The sequence below is a fragment of the Homo sapiens genome, chromosome 1 (assembly GCF_000001405.40).
Source record: "Homo sapiens chromosome 1, GRCh38.p14 Primary Assembly".
Taxonomy (NCBI): domain Eukaryota; kingdom Metazoa; phylum Chordata; class Mammalia; order Primates; family Hominidae; genus Homo; species Homo sapiens.
Genome location: NC_000001.11, coordinates 168,778,107 through 168,799,646, shown reverse-complemented (window position 1 = coordinate 168,799,646; position 21,540 = coordinate 168,778,107). Strand labels below are relative to the sequence as shown.

At 38.3% G+C, this 21,540-nt stretch overlaps 1 long non-coding RNA gene across 1 annotated transcript; it reads right to left on the bottom strand.

Moving 5' to 3' along the window:
• Positions 1-6,758: 6,758 nt before the first annotated feature.
• LINC00626 (long intergenic non-protein coding RNA 626) lies at positions 6,759-12,706 on the bottom strand. The gene is made up of 3 exons (NR_024160.1): positions 12,419-12,706; positions 10,758-10,866; positions 6,759-7,316 (listed from the first exon to the last, which is right to left on the bottom strand). It is a non-coding gene; the product is annotated as a long intergenic non-protein coding RNA 626 (long non-coding RNA).
• Between the last annotated feature and the right edge of the window lie 8,834 nt (positions 12,707-21,540).

Sequence of the window (21,540 nt, the reverse complement as noted above, 5' to 3'; positions counted from 1 at the left end):
TTCTCTGTAGGTGGGTTGCATAGCCAATCAATCTCCTATAATAACTTGGGGAGTAGAACTAAAAATTAAACTTTTTAAAGAGAATGGTTTTCTCCTGTCCTATATCATGCCTCTACCCTTACCAGAAATGGGTGATGATAGCATTGGCAATTCAAATACTATATCTAGTTGCAGAATGATTTATGTAGGTCGCCATAGGCAAGCAGCAACTAAACCCAATTCTTTATAGTACTGATAGAATTTTTTCTGTCTTATTGTTGTTATATAGGCATACCTTGGTGATAATTGTAAGTTTGGTTTCAGACCACCTCAGTAAAATGAGTGGTGAGAGAAATTTTTCGACAAAATTTAATACTCTTTTCTTATAAAATTCTCAGCACTGTAGTAGGAGAAAAAACCTCCTAAACCTAGTAACTGGCATCTATAATAACCCTACAATGAATTCAATAACAGTAAAACACTGAATGCTTTAACTCTAGGATGAGCCACAAGGCATGGATGACTGCCATCAACCACTTGTATTCCATCTTATACTAGAAGTTCTAGTCAGTGTTTGATAAGGAAAGAAATAAATAAAATAAAAGGTGTTCAGGTTGGGGAGAAAGAAGTAAAACTGTTTTTATTTGCAGATAACATGATAGTCTACGTAGATATCTAAAGAAATCTACAAAAATATACTAGAACTAATAACTGAGTTTAAAAAGTTTGCAGGATACAAAAGTAATATACAGAAATCAATTGTAGTTCTATATACTAGCAATGAGCAACTGAAAATTGAAATTAAAAATGATACTTCCAATAGCAACAAAAATGTGGCACGCCTATGAATTAAATTAACAAAAGATATTCAATATCTGCACACTGAAAACTACAAAAACATTCCTGAGAGAAATTAAAGAAGACCTAATGAAGATACACTGTATTGATGGGTTGGAAGAGTCAATATTGTTAAAATGTTACAATATTGTTAAAATGATAGGTATGTCTCCTACATACCTATCAGAATAGCTAACATAATAAAAAAAAAAGTGACAATGCCCCATTCTGATAAAGATGTAAAGAAACTGGACCTCTCATACATTGCTGATAAGAATTTAAAAATGTCACAGCCTCTCTGAAAAAGAATTTAGTAGAAGTCATTCAAAACTAAACCTGCACATACCATACAACTCAGAAATTACAATCCTGTGGCTGAGTGTGATGGCTTATGTCTGTAATCCCAGCACTTTGGGAGGCTGAGGTGGGCAGATCATTTGAGGCCAGGAGTTTGAGACTAGCCTGGCCAACATGGTGAAACCACATCTCTGTTAGAAATACAAAAATTAGCCAGCCATGGTGGCATGCACCTGTAGTCCCAGCTACTCAGGAGGCTGAGGCAGGAGAATTGCTTTAACCCAGGAGGTGGAGGTTGCAGTCAGATGAGACTGTGCCACTGTACTCCAGCCTGGACAACAGAGCGAGACTCTGTCTCAACAACAACAACAACAACAACAACAACAAAAAGGTAAAAAAAGGAAAGAAATTACAGTCCTGGGCATTTACTTCAGAGAAACAAGTATGTACATATGTATAAAAACCTGTATGTACACAATTGCTCACAGCAATTTTATTTGTAATGACCAAAAACCATAAACAACCAAAATAACCCTCAATAGATGGATGGTTTAACAAACCGTGGTATATCCAGACCATGGAATGCTACTCAGCAATGAAGAAGAATGAACTATTGATGCATGCAACAACTTGGATGGATCTCAAAAGCATTATGCTAAGTGTAAAAAGCCAGTCTCAAAGGTTATATATAAATGTTATATATATCCACATATAACATAAATCCATATATAACATAAATGTTATATATAATCCACATATAACATTTTTAAAACAAAAATATTATAGAGACGGAAAACAGATGAGTGGTTGCCAGAGGCTAGGAACGATGGAGAGGAAGGTGGGTAAGAGCATAAAAGAGTAGCACAAGGGAGATCTTTGTGGTGATGAGCAGTCTTGTATTTTGTCTGTGATAGTGGTTACACAAACCTACATTTGATAAAAAGGCATAGAACTGCACACACACATTGAACAAATAAATACCTTTGAGTAAACAGACTGAAGGGCATCTGTATTTCTTTGTACCATCTTTGCAACTTCCTGTAAACCAATAATTATTTCAAACTAAAATTTAAAAAAGGTGTCAATTTTCCCCAAAGTGGTGTATAGATTCCATAGGATCCCGTTCAAGTCCCAGTAGATATTTTTGCAGAAATTGTCAAGATGATTCTAACATTTATATGAAAATTCAAAGGACCTAGGATAGCCAATACAACTATGAAAAAGATAAAATTGGAGGACTTATCCTACTACCTGACTTTAAAAATTATTTTAAAGCTATGAAAATCAAGATGAAGTAGCATTGCTGAAATGGTAGGCAAATAGATCATTGAAACAGCGTCCAGACGTAAAGCCACATATATAGTCAATTGATTGTGGGTTTTTTGTTGTTGTTGTTGTTTTTTGAGATGGAGTCTCACTCTGTCACCCAAGCTGGAGTGCAGTCTGAAATCTCGGCTCGCTGCCACCTGCACCTCCTGGGTTCAAGTGATTCTCCTGCCTCAGCCTTCTGAGTAGCTGGGATTACAGATGACCGGCACAACGCCGAGCTAATTTTTGCATTTTTTAGAAGAAACGGGTTTCAACATGCTGGCCAGGCTGGTCTCGGACTCCTGACTTCAAGTGATCCACCTGCCTTGACCTCCCAAAGTACTGGGATTACAGGTGTGAGCCACCGTGCCCAGTCATCAATTGATTTTTGACAAAAGTGAAAGGGTAATTCAATGGAGAAAGAATAGTTTTTCCTGTAAATTCTGCTGGAATAGCTGGTTATTCCTATGCAAAACAGTGAACTTAGATTCACAACTTATGGCATATACAAAAATTAACTCAAAGTGGATTATATACCTACATGTAAAACTAAAACTGTAAATTCCCTATAAGAAGAAAAAGAGAAAAATTATTGTGCCCTTGGGTAAGGCAAATATTTCTTAGATATTATACCAAAGGCACAAATCATAAAAATTTGATGATTTGAACTTGATAAAAATGAAAAACTATTACTATGTGACAAACACTATTAAGAGAATGAAAAGACAAGCCATAGTCTGAGAGAAAATATTTGCAAGTAAAATATCTGTTAATGGTCTTGTATTCAGAACATGTAAAGAACTCTTAAAACTCAATTTTTAAAAAAAGGATGGAAAAAAGACTTGAGCAAAATTTTACCACAAAAGATACATGGATGGTAAATAAGCACATGAAATATATTCAATATTATTTATTAGTTGGGAATTACAAATTAAAATCATGGTGAGATAAGATTGCACATCTATCAGAATGGTTACAATATTAAATAACTGTTCATATCATGTGCTTGCAAGGATGTGGAAGAACTAGAATGTGGTTGGTGGAAGCATGAAAGAGTACAGCCACTTTGGAAGAAAATTGGCAGTTTTACTCCAAGTTAAACATATACCTACCATATGTTCCAGTCATTTCACTCTCAGGTACTTAGCCAAGAGAAATGAAAACATATATCTGGACAAAAACTTGTACATGAATATGTCCATAGCAGTTTTATTTAACAAACTGAAAATGATCCAGGCATTTTTCAACAGGTGAGTGAATAAACAAATTGTGGCTTATTCATACATTGGAATACTTTTTAGCAATACATAAAGAATGAACGATTGATGCACACACAACATGGAGGAATCGCAAAAGAATTATGCTAAGCACAAGGAGCCAGACAAAATATAGTATATGTGGTAGGATTCCATTTATAGAAAAGTCTAGAAAATGCGAATAGATCTATAGTGACAGAGAGTAGATCAGTGTTAGCCTGGGAGGGGTGGGGCTGGGGAAGGCTTGGAAGATGGTATTACAAAGGGACATGAGAAAACTCAGGTGGTTGATGGTTATGTTCATGCTCTCGATGGTTGCAATGGTTTCAGGGGTGTATGTGTAAGTAAAAGTTTATCAAATTGTGCATTTTAAATATGTACAGTATATTTTATGTTAAGTATGCCTCAATAAAGCTGTAAAAAAAAAAAAAGTGCGTAATGGCAAATGGACCAAAAAGACCATATAAAAACAGACCTTGTTTTGTAAAGGCAGACGTTGCAAGTTTCACAAAAGGCACCTGCATCTCTCCTATTGCCTCCTGCTTCTCTTCCCTGTGGTGGAGGAAGGGTCCGTCCTTCCCTCCTGTGCTCTGGGTCCCATCCCTTTGACCTTCTTTGAAACTTTGACCTTTAGTCTTCACCCTCCTCCTGTCACCATTCTTTTACTCTCCTTTGCCTACTCCCGTGGGGACACAAATGTGCTCTTGGTATCTTTCTTTCTTTTTCCTTTTTCTTTTCTTTCTTTTTTTTTTTTTTTTTTTTGACAGAGTCTTTGTCTGTCACCCAGGCTGGAATGCAGTGGCGTGGATCATGGCTTACTGCAGCCTTGACCTCCTGGGCTCAAGCAATCCTCTCACCCCAGCACCTGACCCCAAGTAGCTGGGGCAATAGGTGTATGCCACCACACCCTGCTAATTTTTGTATTTTTTATAAAGACAAGGTTGCACCATGTTACCAAGGCTGGTCTTCAACTCCTGGGCTCAAGTGATCTACCCACCTCACCTTGCCAAAGTGCTGGGACTACAGGCATGAGCCACCACACCTGGCCTGTTATCTTTCATTTTAAAACCAAAATAAAACTCTTCTTTATCTAAACATACTCCCCTAGGTACTGCTGTCTATACACACCCCCTCAACAAATATACACACATACATGCACATACTGAGTTCCCCAAATCTGATTACAACACTTTTTGTAATTTCTCCCAACTTTGTGAATTTGCACATAGCATGTCTGCTACACTATTTATTAAACTAATGAATTGTGATAAAAGTGAATATAAAGTAGATACTCTGTTAACACACAGTTGATATGTATTAACAAATAGATCAAATAGATCTAGTTTTGAATTCTGGTTCTGGCAGAATTCAACAGTCACGGTATTAAGTGTGACTCTGAGTAGGTTATTAAACTCCTTTAAGAGGGTTTGCTACTTGTAGATGCATTTATGATACCCATTTAATGTATTTCAAGACTTGGTGTTAGAATTAAGTGAAATCATGTTGTTCTGTGTGCCAGCATCCTGCCAGGAAGACATTAGACTCGGTGGATAGCCAGCTGCTGCACTTCTGCCTGCCTGGGCACCAGAGGCTCAATCTTCCTCCACTTTCTCTCTTCACTTCTTCCAATGGGGTTGCTTCTTTTGGCGTGGGATGAGTCAGCGCGGCTCAGCACCTCACACAGAGGGCTCACCTCATCTTCCTTAAACCCGCCAATCCCTCTTCAAGCCCAATAAGCATTGCTAGGCAGCATCATTAGTCCACACCCATCGTGAGAACACTCATTGGCCACAGAGCATGGGAGCCCTGACTCACTCAGAGCTTTTCAACACTTTCTCATTCTCAGCCCCAACTCTATGTCTGTCTCCCTAAAACACTGATTTCTTTAGAGCAATTTAATATTTCTACATTTATAATAAAACTACCTTCCCTGCAGTCAATCAATATAATGGTAAAATGAAATATAAATAAATAAAAATAAAACCCTACTCCTATGGCATTTATCTGTACTTTGCAATAGGGCTACTACTTAGATATGCTCTTGTATTAGACTCATTTGTTTTATGTGTATGTTTTTCCCCTGGCTGAGTAATCCTTGAGAATTAAAACAGTTTTCTAAAATCAAATCAAGTACATAATATAGTGCTCAGTTTATATCTGTTCCATGGATTTTGATTATATCAACTGGCAAGTCATAGACACCCAAACTACTTAGTATTCTTCTCCCACCTCCACATCAATAAGATTTCTTTACTCATATATTTATTCTGTCTTTGGAATTACTTTCCTTTTCACTTTGATTCCAGAAGGAAGAAGCCCAACCCAGACCCCACCTCCTCCATGAGACTTTCTCTTATTGCTTCTGCTGAAGTCATTCTCTCCCTCCTATGACCTTCCATGGTACTGGACTGGGATTCAAAAGATCTATATGCCAATTACTAGCTGTGAGAATGTAGGCAAGATATTTACCCTCTCTGAATCTTGGTTTTCCATAACTCTAAAATGAAGATAATAACACCTATCTCACAGGGCCATTGTGAGGATCAAATGAGGTAATGTGTATGGAAGCTCTTTGTAAAGTAAACTGAGATAAGTAAATGAAAGGGATGATTATCTCTATTATAGCTTTTATCTAGTCTGCCTTGCATTTTAGTTACTTGTCAGTGGATCTGTCTCCTGAATTGGCTTGAGAAATCCTGGGAGAGTAGAAATGTTTTACTCATCTCTGTAACTTCCACTGTGCCTTGCACATGTAGGTGCACATTAGAACCTGTTGAATTGAATGTGTAGCTGAATGCACTGGACCCAAGCCCTTCTTCCTCCAGAGAAGTAAATGTCTATCACAGCACTGGTAATTCTATGGACAGCTAAAGAAATCCAAAAACATTGGCTTTCTTTTTTTAATGCACCAGAAGATGATTTTCAAAGAAGAAAGGGGAAATCATTTCCTCTGATATGTGCCACATGCTCAAAGCCTGCAGAGCAAGTAACCAACACAATTCATCAAATGAGATTACAGGAATTCAGGAAACGGCAAGTCCTAATTAAGCCAAAACAACAAACCACACCAGATGCACGCTCTATTTTCAAGCTATGATCTTGTATTTTATTATCCCACAGAGTTCTGGAGTCAAGACTTGTAGCAGAGGGACTGAGCTGGAAGCCAAAATAGGATGACACTCTAGTTCTTGTGGAGGAGTCTAAGCTGGAATATCAGATGTTTGTATTTAAAGTCAAGAACATCTTCAAACCAGGGAGGGGTTAGTGCTCTTAAGTGACCAATGGCTGACTTGCTGGATTCAAACAGGGAAAAATGATGTTGAGAATTCTGTTGTAAGTATTCTATTTTTGTATAATTTCTTCAGGAGTTTTTATCTTCCCCTCCTGGTAGAGTTGGGCCCTTTCGCTCTGCGTTCCCATCATTCTGTGCCCATCTCTTCTTAGCCCACAACACACTGGGAACAAGAACGGTCACTTGGTCCATGTCGGGTCAACCAGTCATTCTTTCTTATAAGGCTTTGATCATAGAGACCGAATTAGTCACATGGTGTTAAGATTGAAACCTTTACAATCTCTGCAAGAGGAAATGTTGACTAGACCACTGGGTGTGACTTCAGAGGTCTGAAAGAGAGCTGTGGGCTGAAAATACACATTTGTAAGTCATCACTATATAGATGGCTAGCCATGTGGATGACATCTCCTAGGGTAAGACAGTATTAGGAGAAGAGAAGATAGGAGACAGACAGGAGAGGAGGAGGTTTCAGAGAGCTCAGGTTTCAGATTTACCACTTATTTATTTGGTGATGGAAAGACCTTTGATCATCCTGAGTGACTGTTTTAGTTTTTGTAAAAAATGTATTTATTTATTCATTCATTTAGTTGACAATTTTTAAAATGCTTATTATAAGCCAGATACTGTGCAAGATGTTGGTGATACAGTGGTAAATATAGTGGTAAATATAACATACAGCGGTATATCATATAACATACAGTGGTATAACACACATAGTGGTAAATATACAGTGGTAAATATAACATAGGCTTTCTCTCTCTCTCTCTGTGTATATATATGTGTATATATATATATAGCACATCTTTATGATATGTAAATATATTTACATATAAGTATATAAATTTATATATCAAATATATTTTTACATAAATGTCTATTAAATATATGTTCATATATTATATATAATAAATATGTGCAAGATATTGAGAACACAGTGGTAAATTGTGGATACTGCATTTTAGCAATATAATTTTTGTTGCAGTCTGATTGACAACATAGAGCAAGTGACCATTCTTGTACCTAGTGTGTTACGGGCTAAGAAGAGATGAGCAGAGAACGACGGGAACACAATATATTGACATATCTCTTTATCTCTCTCTCTCTCTCTTCAGGGAGAGAGGTGTGTGTGTGTGTGTGTGTGTGTGTGTGATAAAGATAGAGGAATGCTATGATAGGGTGTGGCCAGGATGATTTTGATGCCCGTTTGAGAGGCAGCCATTGCAGTCCTGGGGCATCAGGAGAAGTTTCTGGAAGAATAACATTTAAGAAGAGAACTGAGGAAGACATTAGCAGTCATCCAAGTGAAGGTTAGGAAGTAGGAGGATATAAACTGGATGGAGGGAACAACAAACACAAAAACCCACAAACAAGAGAGTGCATAGTGAAATGTAAGGAATGATGAACAATTTCAGTCTGATTTAGAGAGAGGATCTGCAATGAGGAACGATGAGAAAGTCAGGTTGGGTCCAGATTACAAAGTGTCTTGTAGGTTGGTTTTAGGAGGCAACCTTTCATCTCAAAGAAAGTAAAAAGCCATGGAACAGTTTTAGTTACGGAAATTTCATTAATAGAATTGTGTTTTAGCAATAAAATTCTTGTTACAGTGTGGAAACTGTATTGGAAATAGAAAGACATGTTAGAAAACTGTTGAAATAATCTAGATGAGGAATGAAGATGCCCTGCGTCAGGACAGTGGTTTAGAGATGAAGAAAATGTTTGGATGATAAAGACAAAAGAAAAAGCAGGCTACAGCAGTAACTAGCGTTCCTGGCATGGATAGAAGTCAAGGAAAATCAGACTTCAGTAGTTAGGTGGCATTTTGATGTCACTTTAGCAATAAGGAGCAAATGAACTAAGCCACCATGATGATCTCTGACTTCCACATAGTTTTCTTTTTCCTTTTTTGAAACAGAGTTCCATTTTGCTTCCCAGGCTGGAGTGCAGTGGCACGGTCTCAGCTCACTGCAACCTCCGCCTCCCAGGTTCAAGCAATTCTTGTGCCTCAGCCTCCCGCGTAGCTGGGATTATAGGCGTCTGCCGCTACACCCGGCTGATTTTTTTTTTTTTTTTTTTTTTTTTTTTTTTTTTTTGTATTTTAGTAGAGACGGTGTTTCACCATGTTTCCCAGGCTAGTCTTGAACTCCTGAGCTCAGGCAATCCACCCATCTTGGCCTCCCAAAATGGTAGGATTACAGGCGCAAGTCACTGTGCCCGGCCGACTTCTACATAGTTTTCTATGTATACATATATATAATGTGAGTATGTGTGCATGTGTATGTGCATGTATTTGCTTTAAGAAACCATCAATAATACCCTCAATTTTCAACCATAAAGACTACAAACTTACCTACATCAGAATCTAATGTTGCTCCTTTTCACTGTAGGAAAAGAAGTTGTCCATCCTGTCTGCCATTGGTCCTTCTCTCTGTGCTTTGGACCCTTCTGCTTTATCTTCTTGTGAACAATTTCGCCTTCCTTCTCTTACATATTTAGACCCTACATCTCAATTGAATCCTTTCTATTAGCGTTAAAAATGCCCAAGTCTTACCCAATGAAGAGCATACACCTCTTCCACATCCCTCTTCCAGCCTTTCTTTCTAACGTCCAAACTCACTTCCCCCTTTCCTCCCCTCTACCCCTCACTCCTCAGCACACTTTAGTCTCATGCCCACTCCCGTCATTTTCCAGATCCAGCTCTGAGTAGGCTCTCCAAAGACCTCTATATTTCTAAATTCTTCAGACATGTTTCAGTTTTCCCCTTACATGAATGTCACAAAATCCCTTTTATTTACAATCTATTTTTAATTGAAAAATGCAAAAGAGAACCAATAATAATATAAAAAGCACCCATGTAATCAAAAACCAAAATTTTAAAATGCTTTTTCACATTTGCTTCAGAGCTATTTTTTCAAAAAACAAAACATTACCTTCTTAACGTCACAATTCCCATTTCTTCCTTCTCTCTCCAGGGGGCAGGCATTTATCAGGAATTTAATATTTATCCTCCATTTGTGGCCTCAGGGCCTAGCACGATGCCTGGTACATAGTAGGTACTCAACAAATATTGTTGAATACATCCATCAATAAAAAAATAGTTTATATTTCAGTGCTTTGGGGAAATAGGGAAGTTTATTAATTTTCTGAGAATAAGATGGGGGAAAAAAGCCTAGGGAGAATGCCTTATGATGAAAAGGCACGTAGGATTCCTATCCGTAGGCATTTTGCTGGTGTGGTTCTAAAATATTACGTAGTCTAAACTTTATGCTACACACTTCCAGTGACAGCTAATATACTGCTTTATAAAGTAACCCATTTCATTTCCGTACACCTTGGTTGAAGAAAATATTGTTTTTCAACTTGACATCTCTTTTCAGGTATTTCCTTTGTGTATTTCCATAGTAACCACTATGCATGGCACACGCTTAGCTGAAATGGAGGATTTTTCTCCTTTCAAATGACGGTCAAGAGGGTGGAACTTGAAAACATTTCCATAGTGAAGTGGATGCATAGGAGGTAGAGAGGAGGTGAGTTAGGGAGGGATGAAGGAAGAGAGGGAAAGAGTAAGAGAAATACAGAGTACGTGAGCAAGAGGTGCTAAGATCCTTCTCAATGAAAAAGATAAAAAGGAAAAGGTAAGTAAAGTTGGATTAGTTACAAAGCTTCCCAAACTATATTGTTGTGTACATACCACTTACACATGTACATACATACATATACACACAAAGAGATGTATACAAGTAAGGCAAACATGCAATTGGTGGGGAAGAATCAGATTTGGAGCTCTATACCTGCTTTTGAACCCCATGTTTCAGCAAAGTATTCTTCATGCCAGTTGGTTGCTGCGGAAATACTCTGAGAAATTCTCCACATGCCTGTGTTACTCCTGCAAGAGAGATTCTGTAGTGCAAATACATATAGTCTTAAGGAGATGTTAGAAAAGCAGAATGGCCCACTATGATTTCATTTCATATACCCCCAAATTACTTAATGCAACGCATCCAAGAAATCCCAGTAGCCACGTAAATACTTTTTTTTAAAACTAGTTTGTAGGTAAAAGGTTGCCTGGCATTCCGCTAATTTCTGCCTGGCTAGAAAATATCACCACTCTCTATACACATGTGAGAGGAAAAGTTTATGAGAAAAGAACAGACTGGAGTCAGGAAACTTTTCTTCCTGTAGCAGATCTTTAACTATGTACTGTTTGACCTTGGGCAAGTAAGTTCCCTCTAGGGCCTCATTTTCTTATTTGTAAAATGAGAGGAAAGCACTAGATGATTCCAACAGATTGCATCACAGAGGAGGCTTTGGGTTGTAAATGACCAAAATAAAAAATTCAAAATTTCAAATTAGCTTAAAAATACATGATATGTATTGGGTCATGAAATTAAAAATTCCAGAAGTGGGACTAGCTTCAGGTAAAGTTTCCGTTAGTACTTCAACAATGTCACCCAAGGACCCAATTTTGATATCCATTTCATCTTGAGGCTGGTCCTAAGATGGCTGCCAGAATCTCAGGGCTACATGGCATCTCATGTAGCAAGAGTGTTTGCACTGGATTCCCAACAATCATTCTGAAAGTTAGTCCGATTGGACCAGCTTTGGCAACAAACGCACCCCTTAACAATCATCATAGCTGGAGGATAAAATGTGGTTATCAGCTTAACCTTGGCAATATGTGCTCTAAATAGGAAGCAGAGAGAAAATTCAGTTTTCCTGGAAATACAGGAATCTTTAAGAACAAATCAAAGACAGCTGGAAAGAGGGTAAGGGGACTACTCGACAGATAACCAACAAATGTCTTCTCTGGGGTTTCCTCAATTCTGGCATCTTCTACTTGCTTTTTCTGCTCCGAGGGAGAAGTAAGTTGGCTTTAAGCATGAAAGAGGACACCGTTTGAAGCTCTTTGTGCTTGAAAGTTCCTATTGCCTTTGAATTTTGCCCTAACCATGAACCTCACAGAAAACTACACAATAACTTCAGTGTAAGCCTTTTTAGTCTTTTGAACAGTTAATGAAAATAAAACATATGGAGAAATAGGGAACACACATATGCACACTCACACATGCACACACAGACACACACAGACACAGACACACACACACACACACACACACCCTTCCTGAGCATATGCCCATTCAACTGCATAACACTTGTCCTTTCCCTGTTCTTAATTTCTTATTTTCAAAATTAATCTGCCGTTTTCCTTTATACTTTAAAAATTTGCACTAAACTTCTAACTTTCTAAGGATGAATAGAGACACCTTTCTCTTTCCTTTATCCCTTAAGCACATACATGCACAGACACGTATACACATATCATATATTATACCAGGAAAAAGAAACCCCTATCAACAAACCTGAAATTGAAAAGCCTTATCAGTTACCACATTTCAGGCAGGGTAACCAAAAATCAAATTTCAAATGATCTAAATATAAGGAAATATATTACCTTATAAAGAGAAATCTTGAGTTAGGATAGTTCTAGGTTAACTCAGCAGCTCAGCAATGTCATCCAGGCCCTGGATTTTTTCTCCATCCCCGCCCTGCTTTTCCTAGAATGCTGGCATCTTCTCTTAGGGTGACTCTTCTCAGGGTACCAAGATGGCTGCCGTAGCCTAAGCATCACATGCTCATGGTAAATCTAAAGACAAAAAATAATACTTTCTCCTCCTGCTTCCTTTTCATAAAGCAAAACAAAATCTTTTTCTGGACTACTACCTCCTTTCAAGCAGACTTCCCCTCATGTCTCTTTGGTTAAAGCAGTCTTACATGCCCTTTCTTAAATTAATCCCTGGAAAGATGAATTACCCCAGTTGGTGTGCCAATCACGTTCACTTCCTGGGAGAGGGGTTCTCTCTTAAAGCACATAATTGCCTGTTACCTGAAGCTAATAGAATCTGCTACAAAGGATTTTCAGAAGAAAATGCTCTGGTGAAGGATGTGTAACATGAAGCCGTTCTCTAAAGCCCCACCCCTACCCAGCAGTAGACTTTCCCTCCAGTGTCATTGGGCAGAAGGGGTTACATGCCTGTTCTGAAATACCAACTTACCACAATTCCCACAAAGAAATACAGTAATCATTCCTGTATTAAAATTTCTGTTTCTCTTTTTATTACTGGCCATGGAAATGAGGGTGATTTTTTTATTTTTTTATTATTATTTTTTTATTTTGAGACAGGTTCTTCCTCTGTCACCCAGGCTGGAATGCAGTGGTGCGATCTTGGCTCACTGCAGTCTCTAATTCTCAGGCTCAAGTGATCCTCCCGCCTCAGCCTCCCGAGTAGCTGGGACCACAGGTGTGAGCCACCACAACTGGATAATTTTTTGCATTTTTTTAAGAGATGGGGGCCGGGCGCGGTGGCTCACGCCTGTAATCCCAGCACTTTGGGAGGCCGAGGCGGGCGGATCACGAGGTCAGGAGATCGAGACCATCCCGGCTAAAACGGTGAAACCCTGTCTCTACTAAAAATACAAAAAATCAGCCGGGCGTAGTGGCGGGCGCCTGTAGTCCCAGCTACTTGGGAGGCTGAGGCAGGAGAATGGCGTGAACCCGGGAGGTGGAGCTTGCAGTGAGCCGAGATCCCGCCACTGCACTCCAGCCTGGGCGACAGAGCGAGACTCCGTCTCAAAAAAAAAAAAAAAAAAAAAAGAGATGGGGTTTCTCCTTTTTGCCCAGGCTGCTCTTGAACTCCTGGGCCAAGCAATCCACCTGCCTTGGCCTTCCAAAGTGTGAGGATTACAAACGTGAGCCACCATGCCCAGCCGAGGCTAAATATCTTATCATTATTGTGCCTCAATTTACTCCTCTGTAAAATTGAAATAACATTACAGCATCTACATAATCATATGCTTTTGAAGGTTAAATGAAATGAGGTAGATATAAATGGCACAGAGAGATACTAGTATTCTTTAAATATTAGTTCCTTTCCTGTATTGCCATCTTTCTTACTTTCCTTCACCTAAGGACCTAGAAAGAAGAGAGTCACACAGCATAAAATACATTAAAATTTTCATGTAGCTGATTTTTTTTCCCAAGATGGAGTCTTGCTCTGTTGCCCAGGCTGGAGTGCAGCAGTGGCGTGATCTCAGCTTACTGCAACCTCTGCCTCATGGGCTCAAGCAATTCTCCTGCCTCAGCATCCCAAGTAGCTGGGATTACAGACATGTGCCACTATGTCCAGTTAAGTTTTGTATTTTTAGTAGAGACGGGGTTTCACCATGTTGGCCAGGCTGGTCTTGAACTCCTGACCTGGTGATCCGCCTGCCTCGGCCTCCCAAAGTGCTGGGATTACAGGCATGAGCCACTGCACCCAGCCTAATTTTTTATTTATCTTAAATTTTGGGATACATTTATTATATGAAATAAATACATGTTAGCATATTCATTTTGCTCTGTATTTAAGTCTTTATAATCCCAGTCGGCCTGGATCTAGAGCTCATAACTTTGGTGCCCTACCTTTGCCTCCTGAGTCATCTCTTTTTGGGGTTGTAGCAAAGCTGCCCGTCTGTACGTGAGTATATTAGAATGAAGTTGATTGGATAATGTGACCTATTCAAAGGTCATGAGGCCCCCTCAATTCTGTCACTTTTAAGTCTCCCATTAGCATTTTAATTTTAGACCAATATTTGAGTTATAGTTCTATGTATTTAGCTAGAGAAGAAAGGTTTTGCTTAAGGATCATTGAAGTTAATATTGTGGCAGAGAAGGCTTAATGGAAGAGTTAATATCTTAACTGGATTTTGAAAGATGATGAGAATTTGTTAGTAGGAGAAAGGGATAAAGGTCACGCTGGGCAGAGGAAGCCACATGTATAAAATTTTGGAAGGAAAAAAGAACATACCAAGTTTATTTTAAAAACAACATTTTAACACTGGAGAAGCCTGGCAGCAGATGTGGCTGGAAAGAGGGAGCTCAAATGTTGAAGACCCTTTTATGCCACACTAAAGAATTTGGACTTTATTCTATCAACAATGAACAACTACTAAAAAGTTTAATTAGGGAAGAGATATGATTAGACTTATGGTTTAGCAAGATATTTCTCTCCAAAATAAAGATTTTGGGTGATTTTTTTTTATGTTGGTGGATAAAATAGAGGCACTACTAACCAACATTTTATAGCAAGAAGGAAGAACAGGTTTGGAGAGGAAGATAATGAGCTACCTGAGGACATGTGGAGTTAAGATGTTTTTGGAACATCCAGGTGGAGATCTTTGCTTACCATTGGACCAAAGAAGAGGAGTGCAACCTTTAAACATTGTGTAATTGTCCACTTTCCCTAAGCTCCTCCAACAATACCAATTGTTTTAATTTAGGATTAAATTTAATTTAGGATTAAATAATAATTTAATAAATTATTGGATTAAATTAAATAGCTTACAACTAATTTAATATGATAAATCAATGATTTAGAATTTAAAATTTAAAACTGTAAAAGTGCTTTGTTTATAAAGTTTGATAATAATAGCCCTTTTGGTTATTCTGTTTCTGTTTTTGAATTTATCATCCAAAAAAAGTTCAAGTAAATTAGCTATCCAAGATTTTCCTGGACAGAAAACAGACTTACTCTCTCAGGAGGTTATGCTTGCTTAAGTGTTCCAAGTCTTCCTCGTTTGTCAGAGATTCCATGTCCTTGCTCAATATGAAAGTGAGACAACTATTCAGGCTCTTGCTGGAAGATAGCCCAAAGATGGGAGCTATGTTGACGATCTTCTGCTGTAGTAGCCACTGGTAATGAATATTGGAGAATAGCCATAGTTTTGCAGTGTCACCTTTGAATTCCTTCAAAATTGTTGAGTGAATTCCATTCAGAGTGAGTTATTTTATTTACATTAGTTTGACAATTTGATTTAGAAAATTCTGTTTATTTCCAATTCCTTTCTAACTAAAAACCAAGTGTTACATAGACTATCTTTCTTTTTCACTTGGAATAAACATCATTTTGTGGATGGACTGTAACAGCTGACATCCCATTAAGCTGTGCTCCATAGAACATGGAAACATGAATACAGTATTTGAACTCTGACTCTATCGCAGTAAATCCCTGGATTAACTGCTGGCTGATACACTGCCTGGAAATGAAGAGAATCATCAAATAAACCATCAGATAAGGTGACCAAGACAGTCAGACTGGAAAACCGCTAGCTCATCTTTTTTAGTAGCTCATCTAAATGACTAAACTGAATCTAATACTACACAGTCACTTCTCAGTTAAAAGCTTAAAGGATGCCTGAAACCTGCTTATTTAAAAGTCTTTATTTATTGTACTTGATGTAGAAATAATTTAGTGTTACGTTTCAGATTATGCTTATAAAGAGACATGTGAGGTCTTATATGCATGCAAACTCTATTCATTCTTTCATTCCTTCATTTTATTTATTTGTCATAAATTTTATGCTATGTTGTGTCATGTCCCATGTCCATGTTAGGCATGGAGATAGTAAAGACAAACATGATCCTGTTTCTCAAGAAACTTAAAATAAGTTGAAGGTTGTGATACATAACATTAAGTGTCATGTTAAAATTGCTACAGATATGAATATTAAGAAAGTATATTGCTAAGGAACAACAGAGAAACATCAAAATCATACTGAGGTATTAGGAAATGTTTCCTAGAGAATGTAATCACTACACCGATTTTTATCGAATGAGTAGGAGATAGCTTCATTAACAAGGTAAGAGAGGAAATTCCAGCACAGGGAGCATTATAAACAAGGCTGATGACGTGAACATGCAGAAGTCTCTATACAACTTGCCTGGAGGGTATGTGGATGTCATAGGTGAGATGAGGTGAATTTTTGGAAGATAAACCTATAAAGGGAGATTGGGATCAGAATATGAAGAAGCATTTAAATTTTATCCCCAAGCCATTTCTTTTGGAATTCCTCTCTTGCCCCTGTGATTGTGTCAAACCTTCTTGTAAGTGCTTATTGCACAATGGACCTTTTTTGGTGGAACTTATCACAGATGTTATTGGCATTTACCTAAATAATTGATTACTTGATTCATGTCTTTTTTCTTCACCAGATTGTTAGTCTTCTGTGCTCCTGCTTCTTTACCTTACACATCTTGGTTGATAACATCCCCTTTGCTATAAGCTCCATGAGGACAGAGATTCTGTTTCATTAACTTTGTATCCCCAGAACTTATTACAGTGCCTGGAACATTGTGAATATTCAGTAAGTGTTGACTGACTGGATGTGTAAATGAATGACAGACATCAAAGCCACTGAAAGTCCTTATGAAGTGAATAATTTGCTAGATTGCATCTATATTCTGGAAAAATCCTGCTGGGAGTAGCCTTGAGTGATAAATTGGGAAAGAGACAGATCAGAGGCAAGGAGAACAGGTGGAAATAGTGCCATTGAGAATTAATGAGAGTCTAAATCTAGTAGTGTCAGAGAGAGTAACAGAAGAAAACAAATTTATTAAGGAAAAAATAGATTTATAGATACTATAAGGCTTGATATCTATAGCTTGGTATTTAACTGGATGAGGGGAACATAGGACATTGAGATATTTAGGATGACTATTGCAGACTGGGTTCCCCAGGAAACAGACTCTGAGGCATAGATTAGTATGCAGGAGGTTTATGAGGGAGTGCTCCTGGAATTAACACCTGTGGATTGGAAGGGAAGCTAAGAAAAGAGAAGGAAAAGGAAGGAAGAGAAAGAAAGAGAGGGGAGGGGAAAAGAAGGGGACTCATTAATGTGGAAATAATAGTTGAAGTGAAAGGAGATAGGCAGAGAAAATTGGATTTGAGAGAAAGGAAGGAAAAACACAATGAAATGTTGTTCTCAGAAGTCAAAGAAAGATAGAACTTCAGGCAGGAGGAAGCAAGTGACTATGCCTAAATGAAATAAGATAAGAACCCAAAATCATATGCTGAATTTAGCAAAACTTGCTGACTTCTGCCAAAATGCATCATGGAATGAAAGGAGGAGGGGTAGGACTTGACTGTAGTGTGTTAAAGCTTGTATGTAGTGAGAGGCATTGCTGTGTGAAAGTAGGGTAGATTACTCTTGGGACACTTGTCTGTGAAGTGATGTGGAGTCATAGGATGGTAGCTATAGAAGGACATGGTGGTCAAAGAAAGTTTTCTTTGTTTTTATTCATTTTTTAAGATTGGAAAGATATGAAATGTTTTTATGCCAAAAGAAAAACACCCATTGAAAAGTTTGAGGACATAGAAGAAGGAAATGGGAAAGCATGGGACATAGGAAAGCATGGGACCCAAACCACAGGGAATTGGTCTGGCATGCTAGGCATGAAACCCCTTCCATAGGATGGGAAGGAATAAAGAAAGTAATGGGTACATATATGGGATTATGAATTTATTGCCTCAGTTTTCTCACTAAAGGGTGTAGGCAGAAATGTCAAATAGATCTCGAACCCCAGCAGCTAGTACTGTGCCTGACACTTAAAAACACCAAATAAAGATCTATCGAGTGAATATGAGAAAGAAGGAATTGCTCTCAGCGACTCTGAAAAACTTCAACCTTTTCTGGATATCCACACCCCACTACCTCCTTAACATTTCTGCCTGCACCACAGGCCAGTTTCATGGGTATAAAATGTGCATTCACACAGGAACCTCTGCTTGAAACAGGTGGAATATGATTGGTTTAATGCTGCTTTCACTTTCTTGAAACTCTTAATCATTTTAGAGCATATGGCCCCCCATTTTTACCTCCTACTGGGTCCTGCAAATTATGTAGCTGGTCCTTCTGCCACCACAGAAGCTGTATCTGGTAGGTAAGACAGATATTAAAAAATAAAAAAGTGAAAGAAAACCATGATGTTCAATGGATTTTAAAAGAAAAATGAATAAACAAGCAAAAACAATAAAATGAGTGTTACAAGTGAAGAGGTACAGAGATCTGTGAGACACACAGCAGGAAACCGTAACCTAGTACAAGAATGAGAAGGTCAATGCCAGGTGGAGGTGTGAAGAGTTAGTAGGGGTTAATAACAAGAGGATTCAGAAAGTGAGAATGTTCTCTGCAGAAGGAGAGCAAGTGGGAACATCCAGAGGTTCGAGACAGACTTTTCTTTCAAGTTCACTATGTTTGCATAAGAGAGAGCCAAGGGAAAAGAAAAGAGATGGGGCAGAAAGACGGGCGGGAGTCCGATCATGGATACCACTGTCAACCATTTAAAAAAATTGGAGGCTCTATTCTATTAGGTTCTATATTGCTTCATAAAAGCTAATTAACTTTAGGAAAGAATTTGAGAAGAGGTTTTTTTGTGTGTTTTAGAAAGAACACACTAGATGCTGTATTGAGTGAACAAAAGAACATCAGGATGGCAGGATGGTAAATGTGGAGATCATTGTTAGGCTTTTGCCTTAGTCCAGGGGATGGGAGATGTGGACCCACTAGAGAGTGGCAGTGAGAATAGTGACAAGTGGCTAGACTTCAGGTGATGTTATCTCTTCCAAGAGAGGGTCCATGCTTACTTCTGCCAAGCAGTTAAACTGCCAAGCAGTTAATTCAATCCTGAGTTGAGGTGACTTGAAGGTATATTTCAATCTTTGTGAGATCTGATCTGGTCTCGAGAAGTCCAGCTAAAATTCTGTAGTACATTTATCAGAGCCCCTCCTTCTAAGTGGGCTCTGAACTCTAGCTGCTCCTTAGTCTCTCTGCTATTTCTTTAGAGTCAGCAGATGCCAGCAGGGAAAAGAGGCATTTGGTATTGGACTCACTTCTCAAGGATCCCTTATTTCCAGGATGTTGGCCTATCAAGTCCTTTATTGTTCTCCAAAGCCTTCAAACAGACTTTTTAAAATGTATTTTGTCCAGATTTTCTACTAGTGCTTGATGGGAAGATTGGCCCAATAAGCTGGTATACCACCGCTGGAAATGGAATTATCAAAATTAGCTTTCTGGAATAAAAGATATACCCAGTACAAGAGAGAAAAGAGGAAAAGCACCTAAGAAAGTATAAGGCATGAATCAAGACACATTTTATGATGGCTATTATTAATATACCAAGAACAAAGCATACATCTGTTTGAGGGATTCATTATCCATGGGCAAGTAGAAGGAAAAAGAAGGAGCATGTTTGTAGGAGCAATGCTTAGGAGAATCCATGGGGATATACTCAAGTGCATAGAAGGAGGGAATAAGGTTATTCCCAAGAGTGGTCACATTCCACAAGGAGACAGGGGAGGGAAGAAAATATTAGCAAATGTACAGAGAAATGAAATTTGGAGATGAACAGAGTTGAGGAAACTTATACTTGGTTTGACTTTCTGCTTGAAGTAAGACTCAAGATAGTTTGAGGAAATAGGAAAGGAAATAGGATATAGGACAAAGAAACTGTAAACTCAACGCTAAGAACTTCTAAAAAGGAAGATAGAGACTCCTGGAGGTGTAGAGATACATCATAGAGAAAAGGACTATGTAGTGGAAGTCCATTCTGGGTGTGTCAAAACAAAACATTCAGGTGAATAATTACTAAGAAACAACAGTGTGATAAAGTCACTTCTAACACCTCCTCCTGGTCCTGGGAGAGGAAGATATTGAGAAAATGATCCATCGGGTGAAGATGAGAGGGAAGTTCTGTCAAGCTCTGTCATCAAGGGAAAGTCATGTTTAATTTAATAGAACAAGGTTGAAAATGTGTATGAAAAAAACAGTGAGGATTGACTTCCACTTTCAGCCATAAGAAGTAAGAAAATGTGACCCACGGCTAGGAGAAACATCGATTAGTTGAAAGATACCCAGAAATAACAGAGATGATGAACTTAATGAACAAGGACATTGAAATTGTTTCTATAAGTATATTCCGTGTGCCCAAGAATGTAAAGAAAAATGCAAACGTAGTGAAGAAATAGAAGATACAAATAGAACCAATGGAGCTTCTAGAGATAAAAAAAATACAATATTTAAAATGAGAATTTATCTGAATGGAATTTATGGTGGATTTGACAGTGGACTTGAAGATAGAGCAACTATTCAAAATCAATCACAGGGAGGAAAAAAACCTGATAAAAGGTGAGTAGAAGGGTTCCAGAGGCACTGACACAGTATCTACTTGGAAGCCTTCAGAGAACATGAACCCTGAACAAACTTCAGCTTGACAGGACAGAGATGGAAGCCAAGGAGAAGAGAGTCTGAAGAGCTTGGTTCCTAGGGGATATAGTGGATTGTGGCCATGCATTTCTTTATTTTAAAAATGTTTCCCAAATCAAACTAATATTCCTTGGGTGTTTTCTATGTGCCATACTTTGTTCTAGCCCCAGTAGATAAAAAGATGCGCATGGCACAATTTATAGTTCATATAGGGAGGCAGGCAAGGAAACAGGCAACTGCAGGAAGGATACTATGGACCATGATGATCATAAGGGTATTATTAAAGGAGGTGCTCACTTTCAAGGTCATGCAAGTCAGCCTGTCCCTTAGAGGGAATGCCTCCTTAAATTTTGCACCCTAGATGCCTCTGTCTCTTTTTTACAAATTTTATTTATTTATTTATGAAATAGGGGTCTCACTAGTCCCTAGTCTCTGTCCTGGGTAGGACAAATTAATGATGGTAGAAAGAAGTACTGAATTTAGGACTAAACTACCCAA